General features: G+C 37.7%; 1 protein-coding gene and 1 long non-coding RNA gene across 12 annotated transcripts in view; one reads left to right on the top strand and one right to left on the bottom strand.

Annotated features, from left to right (window-relative positions):
- The window catches only part of SAMD12 (sterile alpha motif domain containing 12), a 490,139-nt gene that overhangs the window by 233,576 nt on the left and 244,125 nt on the right, over positions 1-12,438 (bottom strand). The window contains exon 5 of one of the 10 annotated variants that reach the window (XM_047421781.1): positions 10,300-10,456. The exons of the other annotated variants lie outside the window; for them this stretch is intronic. Within the exon in view, the coding sequence (XP_047277737.1) occupies positions 10,443-10,456 (14 nt within the window). The 3' untranslated portion in view covers positions 10,300-10,442. Of the gene's footprint in view, positions 1-10,299; positions 10,457-12,438 lie in introns of those variants that run through there. 10 annotated transcript variants of the gene reach the window in all.
- The window catches only part of LOC105375724 (uncharacterized), a 141,651-nt gene that overhangs the window by 84,018 nt on the left and 45,195 nt on the right, over positions 1-12,438 (top strand). The window lies entirely within an intron of this gene.

Raw genomic sequence — 12,438 nt, forward strand, 5'->3', positions numbered from 1 at the left:
CATGTAGGTGGAATTGTCCTGTCTGTTGAGAACATGAACGAAACAAAAAAGTGGAGAAGGACAACTTGTTTCGTTCTCTCCTTGAGCTGGGGCATCCATCTCCTTTTGCCCTTGGACACTGTAGCTACTGATTCTTGGGCTTACAGACTCTGGGACTTACACCAGCAGCTCCCTCTATTCCCAGGCCTTCAGAATTGACTAAATTATACCACCAGCTTTCCCGGTTCTTCCGCTTGTAGATGGCAGATCGTGGGACTTCTCAGCCTCCAAAATCATGCGAGCCAATTCCCATAATAAATCTCCTCTTATATGTCTATATATACCCTATTGGTTGTTTCTCTCTGAAGAACCCTAATACAGCCTCAGAACAGTCTGTTCCTTGCAACTGGGACATTTTCTTTCTATAGTCGCCAAGCACCACCTAATCTGGCTAACTCTTCTTCCTCTTTTAGATCTCAGCTTCCTGAAGGAGATTTTCCTGATCCCTTAGAGCCAGAGAAGTCCCTCTGCTTACTTGCTCCCCAAAGCATAATTAATGACCCCATTCATATCAGCCACCATGTTACTATGATTGCTTGTGGATGAGTGTCTTCTCCACTAAAATGTAAAATCCATGTATATAAGAACCATATCTATCTTGCTTATCATATTTTGCCAAAAGCTAGTAAAGGCCTGACACAAAGCAGGCACTCAGCAAATACACGGTTTTATAGTAAATATACTATCACAACATGCTGTACCTCTCTAGAGCTCTTAACACTTTGGCAATTTTATATGTGTTTGATGACTAAAGAGGAAATAAACACATCTTGCTAACTAATAGCTGGCAAAGTTCAGAGGTCACTTTTCCTTGTAACCTTTTCTGACACATTTCTTCTAGACTGGATACCCTTCCTATATGACACTGCAAACATCCACACTTCTGTCACACCTCAGACATTTCTGTGCTATAATATTTTACATATAGGTCTCCTTAACATGACTTCAAAGGCAAGAATTTAATATTCATCCCTGTATCCCTAACATACAGCATATAAATAGTAGTTGACACTTAGTAGGTTCTCAATGTTTTTTGAATTACTAAATAAATGATTGTATAATTGCTACTGTAAAAAGATAAACAAAATGAGGGCTGGGCACGGTGGCTCATGCCTGTAATCCCAGCATTTTGGGAGGCCAAGGTGGGTGGATCACCTGAGGTCAGGAGTTCAAGACCAGCCTGACCAACATGGTGAAATCCCGTCTCTACTAAAAATACAAAATTAGCTGGGCGTGGTGGCACATGCCTGTAATCCCAGATACTCAGGAGGCTGAGGCAGGAAAATTGCTTGAAACTGGGAGGCGAAGGTTGCAGTGAACCCAGATCGCGCCATTGCACTCCAGCCTGGGCAACAAGAGTGAAACTCTGTCTCAAATAAAATAAAATAAAATAAAATAAAATAAAATAAAATAAAATAAAATAAAATAAAATAAAATAAAATAATAAAATAAAATAAAATAAAATAAAATAAAATAAAAATGAACAAAATGAAAAGGGGGATACTAAGAATGGAAGTATTATTTCAGAGAAGGATAAGGATAGAAGGCTTTATTCTTGTCTGGGGCTCAAGACTGGACCAATGGCTGCACAACTTTAGAGTCCATTCACAGTGTAGTCTATGCACATGGTACCTTCTAGAATTGGCATGTAGAAATTCTGATACAATGGGAGGCTTGAACATCTACACTGTACAGGGGTTTTTGCCAGACACCGAGAATTGGTGGTCCCCCCAAAAAAGGCCACAGAGAAATTAGTTAATATGCAATATTAGGGACAGAAGTCCTAAAGCACACAGATGGCATATTTTTCTGTTTCTTCTTAGAAAAGCCAGAACATCTCAGTGCATCTCTGAAAGTGGCTTTGATTTCTTCTTATCCAGTCCACATGTCAATGTTCTAAATCAACTGACTCTCTAAAAATCCCATAGGACATTTGAACACCGCACATATTAGACTGTAGGGTCTATACTTATCCTCAAGAATAAAACCAATATCAATTGTTGAAAACCTGTAACTCATCTTTCTTCAATGTAACATTAGTAATTTAAGATCCTTCAAATCCACAGTCAAGCCACAAGGTCAAGGTGACATAACAATGCAACCTTATGACCATCTTAAATTGTCCAAACAAGAGATATCACATATATTGTTTCACCTAGTACATTTAAATGCAAAGTGGTCAATGCATTTGAGGTTGGTGAGTTCTGCAGGGGCAGACATGAAGCATTTTTGAAGTCTCTGAAGTTCCCTAAAATTACTCATCAGTATGCAAAGAATGACTTAAAACATTGAGCTGTGAAGCAGCAATGACAAGGATCATTCCTGATAGAAAAAGTCCATATTAGACAAATAATGTGTAGACATGTCTCCCATATGCTGGCTAGAGGAACCATTAGGGGCGCTACAAAAGGCAGATATTTTTCTACCATGAACAATGTAACAGACAAGAATCATGAGTCCATGTCAAGCCTTAAACAAAACTCCTTCTTGGATTAAATGACCTAATGGATTCCCAGAATAAAAACGAAACAGGAAAAGATGCTAATCAGGATATACATCTCATAATTCTAACTGCTACTGATAAACTGACATATGATTTTAATAATTCCCTCAAAAAACATGTCTTTTGGCCTTTAAATATAAAGCTCATTCCAAGGAGAATTTCTCTGATGGCTTAAAGACTTGATAAAATTAGAAATATTCCTGGCCACAACATTTCTGCAAGGGTGCGAAGATTTTGAAATGTGTCGGGGGAAATCTTAAGGAGGTAGCAGTTCGAGAAAATGTGGACTTGGAGGAAATTGAGAAGGGACACGTGATTCGCAGATCATAATCAAATAAGGTTGAATGAAGAAGTAGTAACAAAAGACCCTAGCTACAGAAGAATAATCTGTTCAGATTCCTATTAGGTTACTCATCCAAAATCCTTATCTACCATTAGCCGCTGAGCTCATGGTCATAGAAGAAGGTTCACTTAACAATCACTGGAGAGTGTCACTCAGGAGAACATTTAAGGACTGAAAATATTAGATGAAACCACTCAAAGCAGGTGAGTGGCTTATGTTTAAGAGCCCTTGCCATTGTCTTTACTTGATGGGTCAATAGAAAAAGATCACAAGGGAATGAAGAGATTCTTAAAAAAGGAGATCCTAGGTAATGTTGCTCATGGTGAAAGATGATTCAAAATGGCTTTGTAGCTACGTTTATTTTCTTGTGAATCCATGAAAATTGATATTGCATTCACTGCTTTGAGAAGATTTAGTGGAAAATGAAATAGAGGAAGAAAATGAGAGAAAAGGGCAACAATTAAATTTATATTAGCAAAAACATACAGAGGATCCACCTCTCGCTAGCACTATGCAAAGTAAAATTAGAACACAACTGAAGTTTGCTCATAGTCTACAAGGAAGACAAAGCACTACCTTGCTTTTATACAGGCTTCCCTTTCTGCCACCCTTTGTGCACCTGTTAACATTTTTATCCCTTAAAAACTAGCTCATCTGTTGTAGCACTGGCAAGTCTTCCTTATCCCACCTATTCCCAAGTGAGGCTGAGTTCCAGCTCTGTGCCATCATTATACTATCATGTGTCTCTATGATGGCATACATCATTCTATCCTTATTGCTAGAATGGGCACTCCCTTTTTATCTCTAGTACCTCACACAAAGTGTGGAGCACACCGGATGGAAGAATAATGGATACTATGTGATGAATACAGTATTATTAGTCTGAACAAAGTGCTAAGAAATGCAGAGGGGCCAAAAACAGACACGTAGACCAATGGAACAGAATAGAAAACTCAGAAATAAGAGTGCACACCTACAACAATCTGATCTTTGACAAACCTGACAAAAACAAGCAATGGGGAAAGGATTCCCTATTTAATAAACGGTGCTGGGAAACCTGGCTAGCCATATGCAGAAAATTGAAACTGGACCTCTTCCTTACACTTTATACAAAAATTAACTCAGGATGGATTAAAAACTTGAACGTAGGCCAGGCACAGTGGCTCACTCCTGTAATCCCAGAACTTTGGGAAGCTGAGGCTGGTGGATTGCCTGAGGTCAGGAGTTTGAGACCAGCCTGGCCAACATGGTGAAACCCCATCTCTACTAAAAATTCAAAAATTAGCTGGGCATGGTGGTGGGCACCTGTAATCCAGCTACTCAGGAGGTTGAAGCAGGAGAATCGCTTGAACCTAGGAGGCGGAGGTTGCAGTGAGCTGGGATCACGCCATTATACTCCCGCCCGGGCAACAAGAGTAAAACTCTGTCTCAAAAAAAATAAAATATAAAAAACCCACAAAAACAAAAACAAAAATAAAACAACAACAACAACAACAAAAAACTTAAATGTAAAATCCCAAACTACAAAAACTGTAGAAGAAAATCTAGGCAATACTATTGAGGACATAGGCATGGGCAAAGATTTCATGACAAAAATGTCAAAAGCAGTTGCAGCGAAAGTAAAAACTGACAAATGGGATCTAATTAAAGAGCTCTGTACAGCAAAATAAACTATCATCAGAGTGAACAGAAAATCTACAGAATGGGAGAAATTTTTTCCGACGTATCCATCTGACCAAGGTCTAATATCCAGAATCTATAAGGAACTTAAACAAATTTACAAGAAGAAAACAAACTTACAAGAAGAAAACAAACAACCCCATTAAAAAGTGGGCAAAGGACATGAACAGACACTTCTCAAAAGAAGACATTTATGTGGCCAAAAAACATGAAAAAAAAGCTCAACATCACTGATCATTAGAGAAATGCAAATAAAAACCACAGTGAGATACCATCTCACGCCAGTCCTAACAGGGATTATTACAAAGTCAAGAAAAAACAGATGCTGGTGAGGTTGTGGAGAGACAGGAATGCTTTTACACTGTTGGTGGGAATGCAAATTAGTTGAACCATTGTAGAAGACAATGTGGTGATTCCTCAAAGACCTGGAACTGGAAATATCCTTTGCCCCAGCAATCCCATTACTGGGTATATACCCAAAGGAATATAAATCATTCTGTTTTAAAGACACATGCATGCATATAATCACTGCAGCACTACTCACAACAGCAAAGAGATGGAGTCAACCCAAACGTCAATCGATGATAGACTTCATAAAGAAAATGTGGTACATATACACCATGGAATACTATGCAGACATAAAAAGGAATGAGATAATGTCCTTTGCAGGGACATTGATGGAGCTGGAAGCCATTATCCTCAGCAGACTAATGCAGGAACAGAAAACCAAATACTTCATGTTCTAATTCATAAGTGGGAACTGAACAATGAGAACCCATGGACACAGGGAGGGGAACAACACACACTGGGGCCTGTCAGGGTGGAGGGTGAGGGGAGGGAGAGCATCAGGAAAAATAGCTAATGCATGCCGGGCTTAATACCTAAGTGATGGGTTGATAGGTGCAGCAAACCACCATGGTACACGTTTACCTATGTAACAAACCTGCACATCCTGCACATGTACTCTGGAACTTAAATAAAATTTTTTTTAAAAAAGAAATGCAGATGGATAGGAGAATGATTGGTTCTGCCTGAAAGATGAGGTAAGTCTTCTCAGAAGAGTTAATATTTCATCAAGGCTATGTCTTTTCATGAGTTTTATTATACAATATTCATAACAATCCTGTGAAATAGATCTTATTCCCATTTTTATAATGAAGATATCTTAATTTCTGACAAGCAACTTGTCCAAAGTTAATACATCCATGAAATGCCTAGAATGGCTGTGCGATGCTGAAGAGTTTGACTTTTATTCTGTAGGTAATTGGGAACCATTCAATGTTTTAAGGATGGAAATAATGTTGTCAGAAATATATTTAACTCTGGCAATAGAAGTGGGAAGTTAATTGAAGTAGAATTGAGGGAGCAGGACAGAGACTTCAGATCAAATGATAACTAGAATGTTATTCAAATGGCCTGGGAAAGAGCTGAAGAGGAATGAATTAACACAGTGGTTAGGGTAGAGATAAGGCTGGGAAAGATGGGAAACTCACTTCACAAGCAGAACTCTGAGGATTTGGTCATGGACTCCATGTGAGTGATGAGGAAAACGGAGTAATCACAGGTGACTCTGAGCCTTCCATGACAGGTGACAGCGTGAGTCATGGAGGTATTAACCTTGAGAACCAACACAGGAGGAAGAACAGACTCGGGAGATGGTAGAAAAGATAATGGGTTAGATTCAGATATTTTAAATTTGAGATGTCAGAGAAATATTCAGGGGTACACATCTTTTAGAGAGAGAAAAATAAGAATCTGTAGTTTCAGAGAGGTCTAAAACGTAAATCTGAGAGTCACTATGAAGTAGGGGATGCTTAAGCGGTAGAGGGTGAGATTGTCCAGGCAGCATGCAAAATGCCAACAACTAAGAGGACCTACCCCCAGGAGGAATCAATATTTGGGACGTGGCAGAAGAGGGCAGTTTGCCAACAGCCTGAGAGAGGCCATTAGAAAGAGAACTGAGAGAGTCAATATCCTGTACATGGAACATGTGAGCACCAAGGCAAGGAAAAGCTCATGCTATCCAATGATAAAGCAGAAGAACTGTGTTGAAGAGAACTGGCATGTGAACATCAGATTTGTAACACCAAAGCCTCAACTAAATAAAAGGCATGAAAGAGCCTGGAAATTCAAGTAGCATAATTTGAGACATACTAGAAAATTAGAACATCAGACATTCTTCACATATGCATAAAAAGGAATCTGACTGGCTCATGTTTTCTTTCTCAGGAGCAAGAAGATTCTCTTCCTCAGAAGAGAGACAAAAGGAAGCATTTCTCAATGTCACTTGTAGAAAGACATATCCTATTGCCTGGTCAATAGATACTGAGAAAATTTGCTTTGAATAAATGAGTTAACAGTAAACATGTTTGACCTGAGATTCTCAGGAAATTGGGGCCCCTAATGATACTGATGGCTCCAGGAAGCACTAGGTAGAACTTCTACAAAGATGCAGTATTTTTTTTTTTTTTTTCAGAAATCTCCCATTGTTTTCATATGTATTAAAGCCAGTCTCTAATTCTGTTTTTCTTCTTTTTCCACCATCTTAAGAATATTGCTCTGGCAGTTTCTTATGAGGTCAAACATACATTTAAGATGCCAATCAGCAATTCCACTTCTAGATATTTACTTTTTTAGTGAAATAAAAATCAGTGTTTATAATAAAAACCTATGTGTGAGTGCTTATGGCAGCTTTCTTTGTGTCAAACAAACCTGCAAACAACTCAAATGTCCCACAGCTGGGGGATGGATACACAAACTGTGGTTATATTAGGTTGGTGCAAAAGTAATTGCAGTTTTTAACCATTAAAAATAATGGCAAAAAACACAACTACTTTTGCACCAACCTAATACATTTAGTGGAATACTCAGCAATGAAAGTGAATGGGATGATGACACATCACAGCTTTGATAAGTCTAAATCCATCTCCAGAAGTCAAAGAAGTCAGACACTATGACTCCATTTATATAGCTTTGTGGAGAAGGCAAAACTGTAGGGATGGAAAACATCATAGGTTGCCAGGGGCTGGTAGTAATAAAAGGAGCTGACAACCAAGGAGCATTGGGAGAGTATTTTCTGGAGAAATAGAAATTTTCTATCTTGATTGTTGTGGTAGTTATTCAACTGTGTGCATTTGCCAATACTTGCATAACTGTGCACTAAAAATGGTGAATTTTACTGTATGCAATACAGAATATACCTTAATAAAAACAATGAGATAAAAAGAATACTGGCATGGGAATGAGGAGAACTGCAATCTAGTCTCAGTTATGCCACTAACTAGCTGTGTAACTAGGAACAAACCTCTAATCCTCTTTGGGTCTTGGTGCCCAAATCTGCAAAATGAGACTGGACAATATCTCAACAAGTCTATTGCTCCATTCTACAAAGACTTCCTTCTTTAAGAAAGGTGGTGGACCAGATGGCCTACTTCAGTTCAGATGGCCTACTTGAGTTGCTGAAGTATCATTGCGGAGGTGACTGGACTAAAATAGCTAGTCCGTACATATAGTTCTAAAAAGTCTTCTTGGATTAGAAAGTAGTGTTTCTAATTTTTGTTGTTCCAAAAGACAGAGCTTTGGGAAAGTCCATCTGGTTATGCAATTCCCAAGTAAAATTTGACACATATATTTGGACAATGTGAAAAAAGTTCTTCAGGAAACACTAATGTTTAATGAGCTATAACTGGCCCTGGTAAACAAACATACTATTCTTTTTTCATCTTATAGGGAATAATTATGAAGGCATATGAGGATGGTAGCATCTACTACTCACATCTGCCTTACTTGCCACTGTTTTCTATTGCCTGAATTTACCCAACCCTCATAGTTGCTGATATATTTTTACACTTTCTACGTATTTGCAGCCAAGAAAGTCACTAAAAGGGACACCCCAAAAATAGTTCCACACTACAGCATGAGAAAATAAAACAATAAAAATAATAATCTTGATGATGATTTCAAAAGCTTGCATTTTTTTACTTCGTAAAGCAGGGGTCCACAAACAATGGGCTAGCAATTTTTTTTTTACCTGTGGTAAAAACCACATAGTACTAAATCTACTATCTTAACCATTTTTAAGCGCACAGTTCAGTCATATTAAGTATATCTAAGTTGTTGTGCACCAGATCTCTATGAGGTTTCATCTTGCAAAACTGAAACTTGTACATGAAACACAAATTCCTCCTCCTCCAAGCCCTTGTAGCCACTTTTTTACTTTGTTTCTATGATTTTGACTATTTTAGATACTCCATATGAGTAGAATCATGCATTATTTGTCCTTTTGTGACTCGCTTATTTTGTTTAGCACGATGTCTTTGAGGTTTATCATGCAGCATGTGGTCGGATTTCCTTCTTTTTAAAGGCCGAATAATATTGCATTTTGTATATATACCATGTTTTCTTTATCCGTTCATCTGTTGATAGACATTTGGGTCACTTCTATCTCTTGCCTATTGTGAATAATGCTGCACTGAACATGGGTGTACAATTATTTCAAGATCCTGCTTTGAATTCTTTTGGATATGTACCCAGAAGTGAGATGGCTGTATCATATGGTAACTCTATTTTTAGTTTTTTGAGGAACCTCAATACTGTTTTCCATAATGGCTATACAATTTTATATTCCCACTAACAGTATACAGGGGATCCAATTTCTCTACATTCTTGCCAACACTAGTTATTTTCTGTTCTTTTGGTAGTGGCCATTCTAATGGGTGTGAGATGATGTGTGGTTCTGATTTGCATTTCTCTAATGATTAGTGATGTTGAGCATCACTTCATACGCCTATTGGCCATTTGCATACCCTTTTTGGAGAACTCTCTATTTGAATCCTTTGCTTATTTTATTATTTGGCTTGTTTTTTTTTCCCCTTGTGTTGAGTTATAGACGTTTCTTATATATTCTGGATATTAACCCCTTTTCAGATATGTGATTTATATATATTTTCTATTCTGTGTTGTCTTTTCACTCTGTTGTTTCCTTTGATGTGTATCAGTAATTCTTTTTGTAAATAAAATTGTATTGGAACACTGCTATGCCTAATTCATTTAAGTATTGTCTATGGTTGGGTTTTGCCTAGTGGGGGTAGTTGCAACAGATACCATATGGCTGCAAAGACTAAAATACTTACAAACTGGTCCTTTACAGAAAAGGTTTGCCAACCTCTGTCATAGAATATGCAATGAACTCTATTATACGGTTTCTACATAAAATCTCATTTAACAACCACCTGGAGATGGAAATTATTAGCCCATTTGACATAATAAAGGCAATAAAGCGTAATGGGTAAAAGTTTGCTGTGGAGTCAGACAGACCTGTGCTATGCTTTTTACTAGTTGTCTGACTATGAGTATATTACTTAACCTCTTCATCCTCTCTTATACGCATATGTAAATTATTGTGATGGTTGCACCACTCTCTTTACACACTAAACATCACTGAATTTTAAGCCTTAAGTGGGTAAGTTGTATGTTATGTGAATTATATCTCTATGAAGATGTTATAAAAATAAGGATTATTATAAATGTATGAGGTTGATTAAATTGCGTGGCTTCTATTACTGATAGCCAACAATATTCTGCATTTACTATCATACTGTATCGAGTGATTTACATATCTTAGCTCCCTTAATTCTTACAACATCCCTATTTGGTGAGCACAGCAAAATGTGTTAGGTACAGGATTTAAAATTTGGGCCTGTCTGATGCCAAAATTCACCCTTTTTCCTTCTTGTTTCTTTTTAAAAATTTTATTCCTTTAAATAGTTAATATACTCATACATTTCATCAAACAAAGTGACATAAAAGGCACACACCCTCTCTCCATCCACCATATTCCCTGTCCCACAGGTGCAGCTTGTATTAGCTTCTTGTACATCATTCAGCATTTCCTTAAAACAAAGCACATATGGATATACATTTTTATTTCCTCCTCTTTGGCAAATGTAGCATACTATACGCATTGTTCAAATATAGTATACATTGTTCTGCACCTTACTTTTTTCTCATCTCATAGCATCCCAGAGATCCTACCATATTAGTATTCTTCATTCTCGTATTTGTAGCTAAGAGTACACCAATGCCTGGGTGTACCATTATTTAATTCACTATTCCCCTCAAGATGGACAGTTAAGTTGTTTCCAAGAAACTATATTTTGAAATTGCCTCCAAAGGCAAGAAGAAAACTCCTAAGAAACGCAATCATTTTTAAAATAAATTCCTTTCCTCAAAAATGGACTTTGAAAGTGATAACTCTTCTTAAAATGCGTTGGTTAGTAAATATTTGTTAAATATTAATGCAATTGTCTAAATGTTATGTCTCCTCAAAATTTATGTATTGAAATCCTAACCCCCAAGGTGATGGTATTGGACGGTGGGGCCCTTGCTTGGTGATCAGGTCACGGGGGTGCAGCCCTCATGTATGGGATTGGTGCTCTTGTAAAAGCAGCCCCACAGATATCCCACCCCATGTGACATTACAATGATTAGAAGGTCATCTGTGAGGAAGTGGGCCCTCATCAGACACTGAATCTGCTGGCGCCCTGATCTTGGACTTCTCAGCCTCCAGAATTGTAAGAGAGAAATTTTTGTTGTTTATAAGCTACCTAGATTATGGCATTTTGTTACCGCAGCCTGAACATGTTAGATAATCATCAACAACAAACAATTAAATGCATTACACCAGAGTGACAGCCCCACGTGAGCCATGGAAGGATACTCCATCTCTATGGATAAGAACTGTGATTCACCCTCTTTAAGAGGGAAGCCCAAGGATTTCCAAAAACATTCCAAAGTCTTTGTTTGTACTTATTCAGCATATTGTTTCTGCTGAGTAATATTTACAGAGATGAAGAATCAAATATTCATTACTGAAACATCTGTTACCCCTATGGTGAATTTCTATATGATATATATTTTAAACTAATAAGTTCACCTGAGTGGAATGAAATTCTAATATTTTTATTATAGCAAACCTAGACCCAAAATATTTTAACGCTAATCTGTCTTTACAACTTCTACTATTAATCATAAAACATAAAAACAACTTATCAATTTTGTTTCCTTTTTTTTTTAAAAAAGAAACTATTACTTCAATAAGGCTATGTATTTTCTGAAGGATGCCTGACATAACATGAGTTTGAGCATTAACATGTGAAGAACCGGCTCACGCCTGTAATCCCAGCACTTTGGGAGGCCAAGGTGAGCAGATCACTTGAGTCCAGGATTTCGAGACCAACCCGGCCAACATAGAAAAACCTCATCTCTACTAAAAATACAAAAAATTAGCCTGGTGTGGTGGTGCATGCCTGTAATCCCAGCTACTTGGGAGGCTGAGACAGGAGAATCACTTCAATCTCGGAGGTGGAGGTTGCAGTGAGCCAAGATTGCGCCACTGCACTCCAGCTGGGGCAACAGAGTGAGACTCTGTCTTGAAAAAACCAAAACCAAAACCAAAAACCTATGTAAAGAACAAGCAATAAAAAAGGTAATATCAGCACAGACAAAATACCCAAGAGCTAGAGAACAATGCGGCCTTCCAAAGGGAACTGAATGAAAGAATTAAAAATGTACAGCTTTTCAAAGCTCAAGAAAGTGACAACAACAACTGAATTCAAAGGACTGAACTGGGCATTATCTTCCCAGAACACGTATGTATATTTAGCTTAATAGACCTGAGTACTATCTTAGGAAAAATCTTATATATTATGCATCTAGGGCAATGAGAGCTGTAGAAAATGATTCTCCAAAGCAAACACACTGCAGGCTGACATTAGTAGAGGAAAAGAGTCAAAGGCACACATAATGCGTCACATGTGAGTTTAGGTCTCATTCTATATAGATCATCACCAGAGGGAAAAAGAATGAGCTGCAA

The sequence above is a fragment of the Homo sapiens genome, chromosome 8 (genome assembly GCF_000001405.40).
Source record: "Homo sapiens chromosome 8, GRCh38.p14 Primary Assembly".
Lineage (NCBI taxonomy): Eukaryota > Metazoa > Chordata > Mammalia > Primates > Hominidae > Homo > Homo sapiens.